This window comes from Homo sapiens, chromosome 4 (genome assembly GCF_000001405.40).
Source record: "Homo sapiens chromosome 4, GRCh38.p14 Primary Assembly".
Lineage (NCBI taxonomy): Eukaryota > Metazoa > Chordata > Mammalia > Primates > Hominidae > Homo > Homo sapiens.
The window spans coordinates 140342109-140363137 of NC_000004.12; the positions used below are offsets into that span (position 1 = coordinate 140342109).

A 21029-nucleotide genomic window follows, 5' to 3' on the forward strand; every position below is an offset into this window, starting at 1 on the left:
ATATGACATCCTATTTTCCACCATATCTCCCACCTCTTATTTACCTGTATCTCATACTCTTGGTTTCTGCATGTGCCCAATACCTTCCTGTCTCTGAGCTTTTGCCCATACTCCTTCACTGAGAAAGCACTCACTACCTGACCAATTTTGCCTGTTGAATCCCACTTTTCATTGATCATGCATCTCAAATGTCCCCTTCTCTAAGCCTTTCAGGGTCCTGTCAGCTGCATATATTTTTTTCCCTTCTGTAAACCTCCAGGATTCTTGTTTTTGAACACTTTTATAAGCTTATTAATAGCAAATAAATAAACCTTTTATTTTGAACCTCCAAAGTGCTCAGCTTGTATAGAATAGGCACTTAATATTTGCAGAATATAATTGAAAAATTGGGGGAATTCTATTCTAGTGAATTTAATTTTTAAAATTCAGGATTTCCAACAGCTCACATCCATTCTGCTTGATATAGTAACAATGAACTTGCCTGAATAAAAAAAATATTATATGTATCAAAGCACAGTGCAGAATGTAGCATGTAGTAACAATTTTAATATCTGCTTAAAATGCTTCATCAAATTTGGCTATTTTTTTCCGCAAAGGAGTGATTATTTGAAATTCTAAAATAGTTTTGCTTTGTGTCTGTATACAAATGTGAACTAGGGCACCTGGATAAATAGTTGTAAAGAAATACTTCCTCCTCAAACAAAGGGTCCCTGCCTAAGGGCTAATGAAGCCAACATCTCTCCTCTTGGGCTCAACTCCAGAAACAGAAAAGGGAGACCTTGCTGTTTCAATGAACTTTTACAGGATGAGGTGTCTGAACAGTAATATGAGAGTGTATTGATGAGCTCAATATATAATCTTATTTCTTCATGTATCTTATTTCTTCATATATATTTCTTCTTATTTCTTCAAATATTTCTTCATATATTTCTACATATATGTATGGCATATATGTATGGCATATATGTACATGTATGAATCTTATTTCTTCATACATGTACCAGGCAGTTTCCATTTAATCCTCACAACAGACTTATCCTCATATTACAGATAGAACATTGAGGCTCTGAGGGTTTGTGACTTACCCCCAGGTCATGCTCTGGTCATTGATAAATCCTTGAGAAGTTTACCGTGGGTATCTAAAAGATATGTTAATCATATAAAGTCAATTTCTTCCCCCAACCTTATCCTTACGCTTTTTGGACAATTTCCTTGAGCAATTCAGCCTAAGGAAACTTGAAGGCAGGGTTTGGCATCTAGCCAGGGTACAGCAGCCGTGCCAGCACAGCAGCCTCCGGTCAAGGGTTGTAAGTCATTAACTTGGGTCTCCTACCACTTCCGGTTAAGAATGCAACACTCAGGTGAGAACTTCTCAGGTGGAAAGCAGGAAGAGGGTGGCTAGTGCAAGGATCAGATAGCACCTGCTTGGAAGTTCACTGATTAATGATTTAACAAGGGCGGTCACATGGGACAACTGCTGCTTTTCTCTGCCCTCATTTTTCTTACTAACAGGTCTGAAAATTGAACAAGATGGACGGGTCCAGGAAAGAGGAGGAGGAAGACAGCACATTCACCAACATTTCTCTTGCAGATGACATAGGTAAGGAAAAAATGGATAACTTCTCAAACATACATTCAACAACAGCTCAGTTTTTTAAAAATATAACTTTTATTATTTTCAGTATAATGATAAAGCATACTCATTGTAGAAAACTTGAAAAAATATAGTTACAAAAACAGGTTTTAATTAAGAGCTGTTTTTCTTTTTCCTTTTAAATTAAGTGATAATTTTAAAGTTGCTGTCATTATATAACATGTACTTTTTAAAATAAATAAAAACAAAATATTTCCTAAAAGTTCAGGAAACATGATGTCAAAGTTGCTACGAAAACAACCTATAATATCGCCACATTTTGTTCAATTATAGTCAGTTTCTTTTCTATCTTGTAAAATAATTGTATCATTACTGAAAACTGAACTAGACTATGCTGCAATTAGCTTTAAGGATTATTGCAGAAAATGTCTGATTTTTAAGGCTAAAGTTTGCTGAATTCAACATGAGAGAAGGAACCAAGTGGGAGAGCAGTTCTAAAATGCTGATGGAAAGGATAACCATGGTTCATTCAACATCTTGGAAAAAATAGACAGTGCTGAATTGCACAATGTTAACTGGAAACACTTCAAACCTACAAGCACCCAAGTCCTTGGGTGTGTGTGGGGTGTGTGTGCGTGTGGTGGTTGTTGCTTTCTATCCAAGTTCCTTTAGCGCAATCATAGTATGAAGCCAGCAAGACTGCAGCTAAGCAATGGGGGTTACTAATTTTGATTAACAGAGAGCAAGAGCATGAATATTTAACATCAATTGCTCTTTCATACAGCCACGCTTCTCCACTTTCTCCCTAAATGCTTAGATTCAAAAAGCGTCTTTCTAAAGTGCAGCCAGACAATTAACACAAACCACCAGCCAGACCTAAGCTTCCCTCCTGGCACTGCATAAACATGCTGGGGTCTTTGGAAATCAAAGAGGAGTATTTTCAGTCTTTATAAGGGGAGGAAAGGTACGAGGTACTGGGCTGTTGAAGAAATGGGATACCGCTGTCCTTAACATGCTCCCACCAGGGTGTTTTAGAAAGCAGACAGAGCTGCAGAAGGCAGTGAAGGAAACAAAGACAGGGGAAACCCATGTTTCTTAGCTTCGGGAGGCGAGATGAGCATGCGCATGGGGAGCCCTATATGCTGTGGGAGGATGCAGTTCGTAGAGAAAGCTTGCTTGCTTAGAATGTGACTCAGCCCAGAATTTTTTTCTGCATGGGCTGAGCCTGAAAGTGGGGACTGTTGGTGGTGCCAGGCCTTTCTACAGCGACTCTCTGACGCACCTCATCACACCCCTTCAACTCTCCCCTCCACGTCTCATCTTCTGCCACTTTCACACTTCCAGTGGAGGAAAGAGCAAGAGGGCAGGAAATTTAAGTTCAGGTGTCCAGTCCACTGTTGGCACTGGTTTTGAGAAGGGCTGCATAGGAGCTGCTTGCTAATGGAGCCTGGACGTGTGGGCATGGGCGCTGAAGAACTAGGAAAGAGTGAGCAACGCTCTCTGGTTGGTAGTGAGAGTGCCGGCAACCACACGAGAGGACCAACGTCCCCTTGCTCCCAATTGCCGCCTCCTTCTCCTTTGTTAGACTGAGTCACAAAATCTCAGTGCACAAAAGGCCTTTGGAGCTGGTCCAGCATAATAACCAGTGGTGGACTCAGGAACTAGTATTAATTTCTGCTGTTTCCATATTTCAAAATGGTAAATGGAAATTGTTCATATATTTGTGATGAAAATGTGCCAGTTAACAAAGACACCATGTTTCTTTGGCTTTTGGAGACAATTTTATTCATTTGACCTGGTAACACTGGTTCATCTTTGTTAATAAAACGTTCTTGGGCTTTGATAACTAAAAATAGGAAAACAAATTATTATAAAAAAATGGAGCTTGTTTAGCAGACATCATTCATTCAAATTGTGGAATCCTTGCAAAAGTAAAGCATTAAAAAGGTATGCTTATATTAAAAGAAAGTTTAGTTCAATTTCTTACTTTTCTTTTTACAATATACATATATGCATACATATGTGTACACATACATGTGTACATATACATATATATATGTAAGGGAGGCCCAGAGAGTCTAAATGCCTTGCCCAAGAGCACAGAGCCAATTAGAGGCAGAGCCAGACTACCTAGAAAGGAAGCATTTCTCAAACTCCTATGTTCAATAAATTCATAGAGTCAATATTAAATGCAATAGTTTCAATACATTTACTGGATTCCAGATACAATGCTACGTCCTTTTAACATCTTATTTCATCTTTACAACATCATCATGATATTATGGTCCTACATTACAGATGATAAAACTGTAGCTCATATTTTTTTAGTAACTTGCTTAAGGCCTCTCCAGGAAGTGATAGAGCCAAAGTCCCAATCCAAGTCTCCTATGGTTGCGGGCATTCCATCTGAGCACCCTTCTCATCTTACAGTTTCTGCATGGATATTGAGTGGCAGTGGCGGTGTTTGTTCATGCTGGGCTTTTTGGTAGATTGTTGGAGCTGGATACCAGAGAAAGCCTTGCACCTTTTAGGGAACTCTAAAAACTGTAAGGATTATAGGCCCTAATGGGTTGGCCTTGGTGATTGTCCAGAAAGACATCGGCTACTGGATGCCAGCCGAGTGCGGTATTGGAAGCTGCTGGATACAGAGGCTCTCACACAAGGACCACTTGTTTCTAATTCTGAATAGAAAGGCCTCGAGTCCCCGGCACTGATCCCTGTGTGACTGGTCAGACCTATCGCTGTCTCCTTTTACCTCCATCGCCTCCCCCTTATACTGCTTCTTTTCTTATTCAGAGGAAGGCGAGAGAAAGGAGAAGGAAGTTTCTACTAACTCTTGAGAAGGTTTGTTTGAGGAAAGGATTGAAGGCATTAATCAAACTTTCATTTACTTTGAATTTTATTTATTTAAGTAATTCTACTTCCTGGTAGTATGGAGCAGTGAGAACGGGCAATGCCAGTAGTTACTCAAGTCACAAGCCAGTTGTGCTTCATAAATTTACTTGTACGTGAGTTGTATGGATTCAGAACAAATGTCCCCAAAGAAACATTACAAATGATAGGATTCCAGACCTGTCCATGCCATCTAACCACATGGCTCCCAAACTGTGTGCCAAGATGCTCCAGGGCACTGCAGCAAACTCACAGGGGTTCTATGAGGGCATCTCAACCTCTCTCAGACACTGAAAGGACTACTGGCTGGTGGTCACTCATTGTTTCACACTAGATTGAACTATGTATCTTTCAATGACATCATCTCTTTCAATCCTGGGTTTTCTGCAATTGCTGTGATAAAAAGCAAGTTCTGTATGAAAGTCAATTGTAGAACAGATAATGAGGGCGGCAGTTTGAGAAGGCTGGAGAAGTTATGCAGTGCCCAACAGGTGCACACATCCCATAAATAAGTGCGTTCCTTTAAGAATGAAATAAAAATATATTTTCTTTCAATTTAGGTACAGTAATTTTTTTTAATGGCTACTAGGTTTTTTGGACATAACAATGTTAATAAGATGTTTGGATCTAAACACTTAATATATGGAACTGTTTGGTGTTTATCTTGGCTTTGGAGTACTGTGAAAAAATTACTGAGACACCAAGGGCACCATAAACTAAGATAGTTTAGGAATCTATGGTCTCAACTGTACTGTAGCTGAACTGGCCCCACTTCTGGGACCTTAGAGGTGGGAGCCATACAGTGCAGGACAAAAGACATTAGACGGCATTGATCTCTCCTTCCTTCCTATGCTTCCACTCCCCTGGCTTTGATGCCACCGCACGGCTCAGGTTCCTCTTCAGCCTCTTTCATCTTTCATCTCAGGCTCTTTTGGGAACCTGTGTCCTCCAGCGTTTCCCTAAGACTCTGTCCTTGGCTACTGTTCTCTCTCTGGACACACGCTCTGGATGATCCTATCTACTCCTAGTTCCATTCTCACCGCCCGTTGCTATATCCCAGCGACTCTAAAACAGAAATCGCAAATTCAAACACCTTCAGGGCCAGGCAATGTGTATGTGGGAAAGGGGCAATGGTATATCATAATTTTTTTCCCCTACTTTTCTAAAACAAGCTATTGACATTTCAATTCTGTTTTTAGTTTATCAAGTTTTTCATCATGCATCTTTTACATATACCAGACATTACTCTTACTATGGTTTATTTCACAATGGCATCTCAAGGTTAATTCTTTCAAGGACATGCTTTGTTTGCATGTTAAATTTATGGGAACATTCTTCATTTCTCACCATTTTCCTTAGGAGACACAGTCCTCTTGGACTAGATTTCATTTTCTACTTTTTTTCTTATTTACTAAATACAAATAAAAATTGTATATGTTTATGGTTTATGGTGTACATTATATATATAATGTAGTGGAACGGCCACATATACATATATGTAGTGGAATAGCTAAATCAAGCTAATGAACATATAATTTACCTCACATAGTTATTTTTTTTAGTGGTGAGAACACTTAAAATCTACTCTCTTTGAAATATTTAAGTATACAATATATTGTTTTTAACTATAGTTGCCGTGATGTACAAAAGATCTCTTAAATTTATTCATCTTGTCGAATTGAAATTTTGTATCCTTTGGCCAACATCTCCGCAATATCCTCACCCTCCAACCTCTGATAATCATCATTGTACTGTCTGCTTCTATGAGTTCCACTTTTTTAGATTCCACATACAAGTGAGATCACATAGTATTTGTCTTTCTGCGCCTGGCTAACATAATGTCTTCCAGGTTCATCCATGTTGTTACAAATGGCAAGATTTCCTTCTTTTTTAAGGCTGAATTCTTCCACTATATGTATGTGTGTGTGTGAGTGTGTGTATATGTATGTATATATATGTGTGTATATATATGTATATATATACGCACACACACACACATCACATTTTCTTTATTCATCTGTCGACAGACATTTAGGTTGTTTCCATATCTTGGCTATTGTGAATTATGATGCAATGAATACGAGCATGCAGATATATTTTCAATATTCTGATTTCAAGTCCTTTGGATATATACCAGTAGTGGGAGTGCTGGATCATATGGTAGTTCCAGTTTTAATGTTTTGAGGAACCTCCACACTTTTCTATAGTAGCTGTACTAATGTACATTCCCACTAACAGTGTGCAAAGATTCCCTGTTCTCCACATCCTGGCCAACTCTTATCTTTCATCTTTTTTATAATAGCCATCCTAACAGTTGGGAGATGTTATCTCATGGTGGTTTTAATTTGCATTTCTCTGATGATTAGTGGTATTGAGCTCATTTTCATATACCCATTGGCCATTTGTATGTCTTCTTTTGAGAAACATCTATTTAGGCTCATTACCCATTTTTAAATTGGGATATTTGTTTTCTTGCATTTTCCACTTTTGACTGAAGTAAGGGAACAACATAGTTTACTTTCCTCTTAACTCTGCAGTAAGAAAACAACAGAGCAATTGTGATGACAGAATGACAACCAACACTGAGCCTTGGGTCCAGCCAGGAGGGTTGAGGGTTGAGGCTCCCTGGAGAGCATGTGCCCGGCTCAAAAGGCAGAGCTGCTTTCTGCTTCTGGTTAACTATTGTCATGGAGGGACAGAAATGCAAATAAGTGGAAACTTTAAGAGACACTGAATATTTCAATTTTTTGTACAATTTCCTGGTTTTTCCATGTTTTTCACCTAATCCTAGTTTTAAAAACAATAGCATAGAGATCCAAACAAAGCACATCTGCAGGACAGATGTGACTGCAGAGGAAACTATTTTCAGACTTCTGTTCTCAAATCTTGTCTTCACCTCTCTCCTGAGTTTATGATTCATAATCCAATTGCTTGCCTAGATATCTCCCAGGTGTCAAATAAACTTACCTTCTCCCCCCAATCTATTCCCACTCCTATATTCATAATTTTAATTAATGGCCCCACCATCCACACAGTTACGAAAGCTAGAAATCCATATGTCATTCCTTCTTTCTCACAATCTGATCAATCACCAATTCTTGTTGACTTGACCTTGGAAATGTTTCTCAAATAAATCTGGCCTTCTCCATCCCTGCCACCACCTCCCTCACCAGGTCCTTATTATCCCCAACACAAACCACAGCACCTGCCTCCCAATGGTTTATCTTATTTCAAATTTTATCCCTTCAAATCTACCCTCCACAGTGGCCACATCACTACCTCCGCCTGTAGAGAACAATCAATGCCTCACAGCCCCTGAAGGATAAAGTCCGATTCACTTAGCATAGCATTGAAGGTCTCCCTTTTCCCAGCTCTCCCTATCTTTTCAGTGTCATTTCCTGCCACACCATTTGAGCTCAGTAGGAGACCCTTAATGTTCCCTCCACACAGTGCCTAGTTCATGCCTCTGCATGCTGTGCTGCTTCTCACTTTGGAATAACACTACCCACCTTTCTTTTTGTCTGGTCAATTCCTACTCACCCTTTCAGACCCCATTCAGGCAATGCCACCTTCAGGAAGCTTTCCCTGATCTTCCCAGGCTGTGTTAGATTTCCTTTCTCCTTTCTAAGAACCCCTAACTTATCTCTGTCTGCATTTTTTTTCATAGTATATGAACAGACTATTCAATAGACTGCGAGCTTCTAAAACACAGCCTGGGTTTTCAAATATCTGTATTCCCAGCATCCAGCACAAGTTGAATGGCTTAACATCTTTTGATTAAAGAATTCTGATAGAATTTGTGTGTGTTGGGATAAGTGCCAGTTTAGGCAGGCCAGCCCCTAGCTGAGAGTTGACTCCTAGGGTTGGTTTTCCTAAATTGTCTCTACTTTTTAGACACTTCTTTTCTATTGTCTCTTCTTTCTATCCACACTTCTGGGTAAGTTTAGTTCTGTTTTCAGAACGCATTTATTGAGCACCTACTGTCATATGCCAGGTAGTAGGCAGGACCTGGTTATTTGAAGAATTGGCACAGGGGAGTGTGGCAGGAAGGGCTTGAACTTTGAAGTCAGAAATGCCTGGATTTGAATCTGTTAGACTTTGTGCAAGCTATCTGCCATCCCTGAGCCTCCATTCCCTCAGCTGCAAAATGATCATAAGAGTAAGTCTCAGAATTGATTTGAAGATTAAATGAAATAATAAAGATGGTGTCTTGAACTAGCCTGGCATAAAGTGAGTGCTTGGTACATTTTCCTTCCTCTGTTGCCCACTTCAAGGAGCTCACATAAAAGTTTCCTAAAAGGCTCTGAGATCTGGGCCAGGAACAGTGGCTCACACCTGTAATCCCAGCACTTTGGGAGGCTGAGGCCGGCAGATCGCCTGAGGTCAGGAGTTTGAGACCAGCCTGGCCAACATAGAGAAACCCCATCTCTACTTAAAAAAAAAAAATTAGCTGAGCGTGGTGCCAGGTGCCTGTAATCCCAGCTACTCGGGAGGCTGAGGCAGGGGAATCGCTTAAACCCGGGAGGTAGAGGTTGCAGTGAGCCGAGATCGCGCCATTGCACTCCAGCCTGGGCAACAAGAGCGAGACTTTATCTAAAAAAAAAAAAAAAGAAGAAGAAGGCTCTGAGATTTGGCCACATCAGTTCTCATGGTAACGACAGTGTCCTGTGGACATGGCGCTGTAAGCTGGGACTGCCTGTTGACGTCCTCCTGATAAGGAAGGGGAGATGGATATGAAGGAACTCTTTATACAAGAGCACGATTCTTTTCTGATGAATATAATGAAGCCACTCTTTCCCCTCTTCATGCCGGCCCTCGCCGCCTCCCCGTCGATGTCCTTCCCATCGCTCCTCTCCTTTATGCCTCAGCCTCCGTCCTGACTCTGCTCTCTAAAACCTCTCCTGAATAATATTCAAAGCTGCGTCTGCGTCTGCTTTTGGTGTCGGCCAATTAGCCCTCATTGTAAGGTTGTAATATGCTTCCCAGAGAAGTGGCACAATTGTTGTGTGCTTTTATTCAGTGATGCTTCCTACCACTATATGGAAAATGTAACAATACCCCCTCACGCCCTGCTGAAAGCAGCCCGGGTTTGAAAAGCTTTCAGAAGGCCATCTGCCGTCCCCTCAGCCAAGCAGAAGATCAGACACGAGGCCCTGCATTAGTTAGCACTCTAAGTAAAAGGTATCAAGGGTCTGTATTCCTTTTCATCTCATCCTCCATTATAATATGGGCTAAAGAAGGAAATAGACTTGTGGCTCCCCAGCTGAGAGAACACTGAGCCATAGCAGGAGTCTTGTCGGTGAAAAGGGAGCAGGCCTTTCTTTTCTGATATGAATGGAGCCAGTGTTTGCAGCCAGCGCCATGCTCCCAAGTGTCTGCCAAGCGGCCATTGCCAGCTTTGCTGGGTTACACTGGACATCTTGGGAGACAACTGCGCAGATGAGAGTCCCAGAGTGGGGACATGGTTAAATAAGTACACAAGGAAGTGGCGAGCGCTGGCTGAGCGTGTTCTGGTCAGGACTAGAGAACCCCCTGCCACCAGTGCCATTTCTCTTTACACCCTCCAATGAATTTGGCTATGAATACTAATTTAAAAGATTATTCCCATATCCTTAAGGGTATTGAAAAAGATCATCTCTAGTATGTTGGAAATGTTGTTTTTAGTGAAATCAAACAAGTATGTTAATTGCACCAGCAATGGCAAAAAGTTTCAGCAAATCTTAATTGGCATTTGGGATCCATATAAGTATGGATAATGCCATTGGCAGAGTAAAATATCTGTTCCTGTAAGCTAAAGATAATATGGACAGTGGCATTAGGAATACCTCCCCTGGCCCAGCAAAATGCCTTAGAGACTTAGCATAAGAGATTCAATAAGAAAAAGGAGATTAACTCTGCTTCTCAGCAGCTTCTGGGAGTGGTATGGCTCTAGGGTCACCAGTGTATTGCTAGAAATTGTAAGTGCTCTTTCTGCAGAGAAATCTTCAATCAGAAGAAATCCACTTAACTGAAATAAATGATCTAGCATAAAGCAAAAACTAGTTTCAGTAAACAAGCTTAAGAAATGGCATGTTAGCGCAGTATCTAATGTTTTCAGTAATCGAGAGTGTTCTCTAATTTTCTCAGCAAAGGATAAGTCGTAATATTTTGACTCTTCCTTTCAAAGACAAAAAACATCCATTGGTTGCCTATATGTTTTTTCTACGTCATTAGAATAAGCACAAAAAAAGGGAGGGGGGCATTAGAATTTTCTCATGTTAAATTTGTACAAAATCCTTCATAGTTATGGTGAATTTTTTCCAGGGAGAAATCCAGAGGAGATCCTGAAAATCAGGGGTGAATTTTATTTACCTGAGCTCATGAGCTAATAAGATGCTGACCTGTCTCAAGTCTGCATTCCTGAAGAGGGGCTGACACAGGGCCCTTCATTTCACAAAGGCTCCAGTTGGATGGGAGCAGCTTTGGACACACTTTCCCTCACAGGCTTCCTGCCTGCTTGACTTGTTCAGAATTTCAGGGTCAAAGCCTGGTTTCCTTAGAGAACTTAAGGGTTCCTTTGGCCTTCAAAGATAGTCTGGGTACAGAGAGAAGGAGGACACGGGCCCCAAAAGAACAGGACAAACCAGATGAATCAGCTTCTATTGGGCTCCACGAGCCTAGAAATAAACATTTTAAATGATCCAAAAGCTTTATAAGTGACACTGCTGAAACAATATATCCACCAATCACAGAATCAAAGTTATTGTAAAAACTGCTCCAGAAAGAGGTGTTTTGCTTTCCTAGATAGGCGTTAGTATTCATTTTCTTTTTTTCTTTTTCTTTTTTTTTTTTTTTTGAGACGAAGTCTCTCTCTGTCGCCAGGCTGGAGTGCAGTGGCATGATCTTGACTCACTGCAACCTCTGCCTCCCGCGTTCAAGCGATTCTCCTGCCTCATCCTCCTGAGTAGCTGGGATTATGGGTGCACGCCACCACGCCCGGCTAATTTTTTTGTATTTTTAGTAGAGACAGGGTTTCACCAGGTCTCGATCTCTTGACCTCATGATCTGCCCGCCTTGGCCTCCCAAAGTGCTGCGATTACAGGCGTGAGCCACCATGCCGGCCTAGTATTCATTTTCAGTCCTCAACATTGGGAACACAAAAGACTCAGTGGTAGCTCACATGAATGGTCTGGAAGAACAGTGAGCCTCTCTTGCCGCCTTTCTGTTACAGTGACCTGGGTCTTCCCTCCACCAGCCTTCTTGGGATGCACACAGTCAACAGCAGGCTCTTTTCAGCCCTTACTCACTTTCTTCCCCATTTAATCATTGTTCCCTTCTTTCTCCATACACATGTTTCATTGTCAGCTTAATGACTTTGGCTCAGAGCACTTGCCTGCGCACATGCGTGGTTTTCATTGCTCGTAGTGTGACGTTAGTAAAAGTTGTTTGAAAAGCTTGTATTTTAAAACACATTCTTCTTTTCTTATCCCTCTTGAAAATCTTTACTACCTTTTCTTAGCAGACAAAAGGCTCTACTATTGTTTGTTCCTCCGTGTGAATATTTTGCTTTCATCTTCATTTGTGGTTAGGAGGTTAGCTTCCTTTATAAAAATGTTTAGAAGATTTTTTTTTTAACAATGTTTCTTATCATTCTTTTTTACTTTGGAATTTTAAATGACTTGAGCTTTGTGCTGTCACAGTGTTTCTCATCTGACACAGTGGATTCCTGTCCCTTCTGCTTTGAGCCCTTTGCCATACTGTAAAAATGGAATTTCTGTAATAAAATGTTATAATTTGAGAGACTCTTCAGTTTACAGTGACTGTTGACCCCTAACCGCTACATTTCTCAGCCAGTGTCTCTCTGTGAAATATTTAGTGATCGTCCACATACAATTGCCCTGGGAGAGCCTACATTTCAAGGAATTTCTCAAAGAACTTTTTTTTTTTTTTTTTTTTTTTGCAGGATATTTTTTACCAACACAAACAGTAACTCCTCTATTTGTCCATTTTGTAGGTTGGGACATTTATGCTTTTTAGGTAACGTGTAATCATTTGACTGTGAAAGGAATTCGACAAATTCGTAACTAATTGATTATTTTTAAAAAGCAAACTGCATGTTCTAATGATTATATCCTTAAGGGTTTTTTTTTTTAAACCTTTTTGAGGGAGGAAGATTAATGCAGGAGTTGGAAAAAATGATTAATCAAATGTCATTCTAGTTTTCCTGTAGATTCTCAATTCTGGTGACAATTAGAAAATCAGTTGGTTTCTTTGGAAATCCTAGTTAACTATTTGGGTATTTATTTCTATCTAAAAAGCAACCCGTCATCACTCATCACAAATAAAACTAAGAGTCTCAAATGTTTGGAGTAACCCCACACTTTACTAACTAGTCATGTGTCTCTGTGACGGTTAACACTGTCAACTTGGTTGGACTGAAGGATGCTAAATATTGATCCTGGGTGTGTCTGTGAGGATGTTGCCAAAGGAGATTAATATTTGAGTCAGTGGGCTGGGAAACCAGACCCACCCTTAATCTGGTGGTCACAATCTAATCAGCTGCCAGCGAATATAAAGCAGGCAGAAAAATGTAAGAAGGTGAGACTGGCCCAACTTCTCAGCCTATACATTATATTTTTATATATATATATATATATATATATATATATATATATAATGTATATAAAACAATGTTATAGAACAATGATACCCTGACTAATACAGTCTCTTAGGTGCATAATGATAATAAGCATTCATTAAAAACGTATTATATGCCAGGCACTGTGCTAAGAAATTTATATGCATTATCTCAGTCCACACAAATATCATGCTATTGATATTATCCCTGTTTTTCAGATTGAAAACTGGGCTTGGAAAGGTTTAGTACATTGCACAATGCAGAGCTGGGATTCAAGCCCAGGTCTAGGTGACTTCAAAGCCTCTGTCAAATGACAATGCATCAGAATTGAAATTAGTAGATAGATAGCATTTCTGCATTGTACTGACTAGGTAGAAGCAATAAGGTGCCTGCATTGCAGGTACTGAATAATGAAATATGGTCCTCTAGTTATGTTATGAGGTCATTGTTTCAAAAATGTAATCATAGAATCAGAGGGCAAGAAGAGCCCAGAGGCTCTCTACCAATATTGGAATATGCTCAGACATGAAAGATAGAATATAAAATTGTATCTATGTTGCGATTACAACCATGCAAAAGTAATTTATATATATGGACTAGAATGCGAAGGGAACTCGGAAAAATGTATGTATTAGTGTGAAGGGATTACAGGTTATTAGATTTTCATGTTATATTTATGCAATTTTTTTCATAAAAAATGAGATTAATACTAGAGTTTTTCTAATATATAGAACTAAGGTATTAATCCTAACATGGGTGATAATTTTCAGAAGCATGTGAAAATATCAGTGGTTGGATTATGGACATCTGTCGCAACACCACTATGGTGATACATGTGAAAAGTTGTTTAGGAAAAATAAAATGGAGAAAGTGGCAAATTTAGCTACAGGATATTCAAGGCATGGAGGGTGGAGAGTAAAGGAGACACGGCACAAATTGTAAACGACACCCTTCAGCACAGTCATGTCTTTTGCATTTTATCCCTTATTTTGAAATAATCTCAAACTATAGAAAATTTTCAAGTAACTTAAAGAAGATTCTGTTTTGTTCCTAAGTTATTTGAAAGTTGCCTGTGCTCTATCACTCCTGGATACATTAGTGTATATTTCTTACAAACGAAGACTTTCTCCTTCGTAACCACAACACAACCAATAACATCAGGAAAATGGCATCCCTACATCACTCTCACCCAATCTTCAAAGCCCACTGAAGCTTCACCAGTTGTCTTGATAATATCCTTTACAAAAAGTATCATTTTAAAATCATATGTTGCATGTAGCTGTCATGTCACCTTCATCTCCTTCAATCTGGAACAGTTCCTCCATCTTTACTTGACTTTCATAACTTTAAAAGATTATAGAGCAGTCATTGTGTAAAATGGTTCTCAGTTTGTGTTTTCTGATGTTTCCTCATGATCAATAAGTTTGGCAAGAATATAGCAGAATGATACTGTGTTCTTCTCATTGCATACTGTCAGGTGGTATATAATTTCTATGTTCCCTTTACCAGTGAGGTTAACTTTGAGCTCTTGATTACGGGTGGTGTCTGACTCATTTTTCCTTCAGTAATTAGCACGTATTTTAGAGGGAGATATTTTGAGACTATATAAATATTTCATTTCACATCAAACTATTTATTTATTTATATCAGAATAGATTTACTTTTTCCCAATTTATTAAGTGAGTTATAATCCTCAGTATATCCTTAGAGAAGGATAAAAGGAAGAGATACATAGTACCTTAAAATCTTTTATTTATTTATTTGTTCATTTATTTAGAGACAGGGTCTCGCTCTGTTGCCCAAGCTGGAGTGCAGTGGTGCAATCTCGGCTCACTGCAACCTTCGCCTCCCAGGTTCAAGCGATTTTCCTGCCTCAGCCTCTGGAGTAGCTGAGACTACAGGAGCCTGCCTCCAAACCTGGCTAATTTTTGTACTTTTTTTTAGTAGAGACAGGGTTTCACCATGTTGACCAGGCTGGTCTCGAACTCCTGACCTCAAGTGGTCTGCCTGCCTCAGCCTCCCAAAGTGCTGGGATTACGGGTGTGAGCCACTGCACCCAGCCTTAAAATCTTTTATATATGGTAATCAGGTGTACAGAGATTCTATTCCTACTGCCTTGAATTATTCAAATTTACACTTATATTCACTTCATTTCTTCTCCAGTAAATTTGTCTTCAAATTTTTCACCAGTAGAGATAGGGAAGGGCATTCAACAAGGAAAAGTGGAATATTCCTTTATCCATTCACCCATTACATACCCAGCTGTCAGTTCCGTGTATCTGATTTGACTCTCAGCCTGGCACCTCCTGCAGTGAATGCCACTGGATGGAAGTGGGTGTAGACAATGCATGTTCCTATTGCCATGTGGCTGGGCTCCTGAAGTTGTTAACCTTAATTTCCCTAAGGAGATAAGGTGTTTATAAACCAAACATTGGTATTTTCACTTGGATCTCAAAGCCAGGACTCACATTAGGATTATGACCTTAAATTCTACATATCAGATATGCCACTTTGTCAAAATGGTGAGACAGATCAGAGCTGCCTTTGCCATCTCACTATACTACTTTTCCTAACCCATCGTAGTTGGTATTATTTTCGTCATTCTAATAAAGAATGACGAATAGTAGCATCTTTAATTCGTTATACCCCACATCTTCTCTTTCTCCCCTTTTCCTCATTCCCTCAACAAATGTTTTATCCACTGTGTCCTTTGTTGTAATCTTGCCTCTGATCCTCTCTTGAGTGCTTTCTGTGGTGTATGTCTCCTTTCCATTGCTGTGTTCTGTCTTCCTTCCCTTCCTTTCTCTCTCTCTAACGCCTATGCACTCCTAATCCCTTTGCTTTCTCGCCCTGGTCTCAGGGCCTGACCTTTGCACTCCACTCTTCTGTCCTTCCCCTGATTCACACTCCCTATTGTATTGATGGCTTACAGGTTTGGAGATAAAGCAACACCTGAGTTGAATACTTTTTTAAAAAGTTTTACCTTTATTATTTTAAGTAAAAGGAAAAAGAAATCTTTGGCTCAGATAACTTTGAGTTTACGCACTTGTAATTTGCATTACCAGATAGTTACGATCATTGCTGCTAAGTCCATTAACTGTTCACATACAAACATTGCTGCTAAGAGCTAACATTTCCCTTGTTTATTACCCATTTATGGAGTATTTTTCTTAGAAACACTGAGTAATGACTAAGTTTCCAAGCTCTAGAGTTGAAGTCCCTGCAATCAAATCCTTGCTCAGCTAGCTGTGGTAACATTGGGCAAATTATTTAACCTCTCTAAACTTCAGTTTCCTGTTGATAAGGCTACTGTATGGCTGAGTTAGCCTATAGTGCCTGCCAGCCTTCTCAGCCTGGGTTCTGAGAGGGAACTAAGCCTTCCTAAGGTGTTCATTGTATGCATTGAATTAAATTCTTTCATTGCATCTAGAAAGGTACTAGTTATACAACACCCTTGGGAGAATTCAGAAAGTAGTCACTCAAATCCTTTTCTGTGTTTTGTGGTTCATTTGGGGAAACCTGGTTGAGAAAGGCTAGGATTCTGAAATAGAAAATTCCCTTTGGAAAACTGCATAAAATTTACTTAGCCTTCTTAAAATAGAATCACCATTCCATTTTAATCACCATTCTATTAAATGGAATCACCATTTCAAGAAAGAGGAAGAACTTATATTTCTGTCACCTAGAATACCTATTCATTTGGACCAAGAACTCTTTGATTTATGAAAGTTGAACAGATTAAGTGCAATTCCACCAGGATTTAACATGTATATAACATATTTTGCATTTTCATTCAGTGTTTGTTACAGAATGAGAGAAATGTCTTTAAGAAACTATTTGTTCTGTATATTATGGCTGTGTAACAATTTACCCACAAGTTTGTGTTGTAGAGCGACAGCGTTTCATTTTGCTCACTATTTTGTGGCTGAGTGATTCAGGAAGGGCTTAGCTGAGCAGTTCTCCCTTAGGGGTCTCTCCTGCAGCTACAGTCAGATGTGGGTGGGGGCTGCGGTCATCTGAAGTTAGACAGGCTGTGTATCCAAGGTGGCTCACTCACACAGCCACGGTGGAAGCTGGCTGCTGGCTGGGAGCTGAGCTGGAGCTGTCATTTTGAGCACCTACATATGGTCTCTTCAGTATAGTGGTTTGGGGGGAATTGTATTTCTTCTTGGTGGCTAGTTTTCCCTAGAGTAAATGTTCTAAGACCAACAAGGAAGGTTGTGTGTACTTTTTATGATTGATTCTTAGAAGTCACACAGCGTCACTTCCATTACACTCTCTGGGTGGAAGCAGTCCCAAGCCTGTTCAGCTTCAAGGGGAAGGAACGTAGGAGAGGATGTCTGTGAGGGCATGTCAAGGGATTTGTGACCATTTAAAAAATCACCACAGCTGGTCCTCTGGACACAGATTATTTATATCCTTCTAAATTTACATCCTTCCAAATGCAAAATACATTTACTCTCTCAAGACGCCCCAGAAGTCTCATTCAATATGACATCAGACTCAGGCTGGAGACGTGGGATCTAAAGATGCCCATGCAGATATGAGTGAGGCTCCTCAGGGATGGTCCTTCAGATGCTTTGTACTCTCTCTAAAGACCTGTGAATTAAAGGCTCCTCACACACCCAGGATACAATAGTGAGGGATAGGACAGCATACATGCTCTTCCTCCGCATGGAACTCTAAACAAGATCCCATTTTTTCTTTAGTCGCTTGGGTTCTACTACCAGGCAGGCAGTGTGCTAGAGTCAGAAGACTTTTTGTCGCCCCCTTGTGGTGAGGCTTCAGGCAAGCCACTTGACTCCTCTGGGTCTCATTTTCCAGGTATAATGAAATAAGACTGACAGGTCCCTTGAGAACTATTTCAGCTCAACAGTTCTGTGATTTCGTGAAATGCCAAAATTGTGCTACTTGGATATGAACAGACACAAATCATTGTGCATAATTAAGAACATTCCACAAGTAGAGAATGTTACTAAAGGATAAAATTAAAGTATGAATTAATAAAGAAGTAAATTTTGTGGGAAATAGAAGCTGATTTTGAACCAATTTTGCCACTAGAGGTCACCAGCATACCATCTCAAAGAGAATAAATAGGCTTTTGTCACTAATAGTTCCCTGTGTAGAACCCCTAAGTGGCATTCACGGTGTCTTTTCATTTACTTGGAATATCTCCTGACAGTTGTCAGAGACATATGTTATGATGAGGTGATGTCAGTGTCCCTCTAGGTGATGTTCCCAGTGTACCTAACGTTCTGTAAGCGTGAAGAGCCACCACCGGAACAGTAAGGAAAATGACTTTCTAGGATTTTCTGCTTTCTCACTGGGATGCGATGAGGGGCAGAGAGATAACTTGATAGGAAGTAATATAAGCTCTGAGGCGAAAAGGCAATGTGGAAATCCAGTGTCATCCTCAAATGCAGCACAGACATGTCAGCTTTTTTATGACACAGAGAAAGTACGGACTGGGAACAGAGCACTCGTTTATTCAGCCAATGTCTGTGGACCTGCCTTCAGGCACTGTGCTTGGCAGGGGCTATATCAATGGAGAAGATGCAGTTACTACCCTCAAGGGATTTAAGAAATGAAGTACAGGAGGTTTCTATTCAGATTCAATATTTTAATAAAAAATGTTTTTATTAATGGCCATTGACTTCTACTGATGCTTCCTGAATCTCCAGCTCGTGTGGTTCTCTTCCTTTTTGAACTTTAGATATCCATCCAGCACCTTCTGCGACATTTTGTAGTATTTCCCTTAAGATACTGTATAAAGAAGGAGGAAGAAAAATAGGAATTTGACACAGAACTAAAGATTATTCCATTTAGAGGTTTTTGGGAGAAGCAGGCTGGGATGGGCCCTGAGTTTCGCTACATATTTTTGCTGGTATGCCAAGAGTACTGACACCATGCCAGGCAACTTCTCTCAGATTTTCTTATTTTATCTTGCTGACAGACCTGTAGGGACAGGCACTGTAATCACCATTTCTGTCAATGGTCCCTTGCAGCACGGCAGTGGGTTTTTTTTTTTTTTTCTGGAAAGTGATGCTAAGAGTACACTTTAGGACTTTTATATCAAAGCTAGAACTGACTGTCACGTGACAATGTTAAAATGCTGACTTCAGTTGCGGCCAATGGTGCTTGTTAGGAAAAACTCTATTAAACTGTATTTTAGGCCAGCGCAGTGGCTCACACTTGTGATCTCAACATTTTGGAAGGCCAGGGTGGGAGGATCACTTGAGCCCAGGAGTTTGAGACCAGCCTGGGCAATATAATGAGACCTCATCTCTACAAGAAATAAGATTAGCGAGGCATGGTTCTGTGCCTGTAGTCCCAGCTATTTGAGAGGCTGAGGCAAGAGAATCACTTGAGCCCAGGAAGTTGAGGCTGCAGTGAGCCATGACTGTGCCACTGCACTCCAGCCTTGGTGACAAAGTGAGATCCTCTCTCTAAATAAATAAAATAATGTATTTTAACGTAAAACTCTTTGGGTGGGACAAACAATGCTCCAAGTAAAATTAATACCTTGAAACGTAAAGAGTCATGGAGATCTCCTGTGAAGAAACTTCTGTGAGTGACAAGAATGGATTCAGAATACCTCTGAGGACTACATCTATTTTCTCCCAAAATGAAAGCTACAAGATACTTTCTTGTAATGCGCTTCATGTAGTACAAAAAGAAAATCTACAAACTCTAGAACTCATAATTCTATAATAAAGAATGAGTTGCAAGGAATTCTGGGCTCTTTCAATAACTTGAGGAGCTATTTCTTCTAAGGCTGAAGGGGACTTGAACTTGATTTAAATTGGTTGTCATCAGCCTTTAGAGCAGACACTGAGAGTGATTCTGAGCACGACACAGACACAGCCCCTATCCCTTAGTAGCAAGGCTTTCTTTAGTTTTCTGCCTTCACTGAAGAAGGAAAGAGAGAGCCTGGCCATATCTTTGCTTCACACTGGGCATGATTTGCTTCACTGCGATGAGTGTTACTAACTATCCTGGTAATTACTAATTTTAAGCAATTGTTTTAAAACAAACTAAAGACCGGCTAAAGACAGGTGTGTCCTTACTTCTTCTTCTTCTTCTTCTTCTTTTTTTTTTTTTTTTGTGAGAGTCTCGCTCTGCTGCCCAGGCTGGAGTGCAGTAGTGTGATCTTGGCTCACTGCAACCTCCACCTCCTGGGTTCAAGCGATTCTCCTGCCTCAGCCTCCCAAGTAGCTGAGACTACAGGCCAAGCCACCATGCCCGGCTAATTTTTGTATTTTTATTACAGACAGGGTTTCACTATATTGGCCAAGTTGGTCTGGAACTCCTGACCTCAAGTGATCTGCTCACCTCAGCCACCAAAAGTGCTGGGATTACAGGCGTGAGCCACTGTGCCCAGCTGTTACTTCTTATTGTTGTAGGGTTTGGTCAAATAGTGGAAAAGAAAGGTTAGGGAGGGAGCTACAAAAATACTACTTGACTTATTTTAAAAATATTTCTATTAATGGCCACTGACTTCTACTGATGCTTCTTTAATCTCCAGCTGGTGTGGTTCTCTTCCTTTTTAAACTTTAGATATCCAACCAACATTTTCTGAGACATTTTGTGGTATTTCCCTTAGGATACTATATAAGGAAGGAGGAAGAAAAACAGGAGTTTGACACAGAACTAAAGATCATTCAATTTAGAGGTTTTTGGGAGAAGCAAACTGGGATGGGCCCTGAGTGTCATTGCATATTCTTGCTGGTATGCCAAGAATACAGTCAACCCAGGCTTTACTCAGGTATGTTTTCAGAGAGCAACTTTAAGGGATGAGGTAATGCCTCTCTGGTTAAAGAGCAAGCTTGCTTCCACTTGCCATAAAAGCCAAAGATTCCCCAAACTCAATGTTCCTCTCCTATATTATAACCCGCTGCATGTATAGGCATCTACAGGGGCCCTCTG

The 21029-nt window shown here is 40.2% G+C and overlaps 1 protein-coding gene and 1 long non-coding RNA gene across 8 annotated transcripts in view; one reads left to right on the forward strand and one right to left on the reverse strand.

Moving 5' to 3' along the window:
- The window catches only part of SCOC (short coiled-coil protein), a 128421-nt gene that overhangs the window by 84801 nt on the left and 22591 nt on the right, over positions 1-21029 (forward strand). For 4 of the 7 annotated variants that reach the window (XM_047416067.1, XM_047416068.1, NM_001153585.1 and 1 more), the window contains exon 1: positions 1353-1600. Coding sequence is in view for 5 of the 7 variants with exons in the window: in NM_001153585.1 (NP_001147057.1) it covers positions 1531-1600 (70 nt within the window). In the remaining 2 variants the exon portion in view is untranslated. Of the gene's footprint in view, positions 1-1334; positions 1601-21029 lie in introns of those variants that run through there. The other 3 variants (NM_001153446.1, NM_001153635.1, NM_032547.3) reach the window with 2 other exon arrangements.
- The window catches only part of SCOC-AS1 (SCOC antisense RNA 1), an 89667-nt gene that overhangs the window by 58383 nt on the left and 10255 nt on the right, over positions 1-21029 (reverse strand). The gene's annotated exons all lie outside the window — the stretch shown is intronic.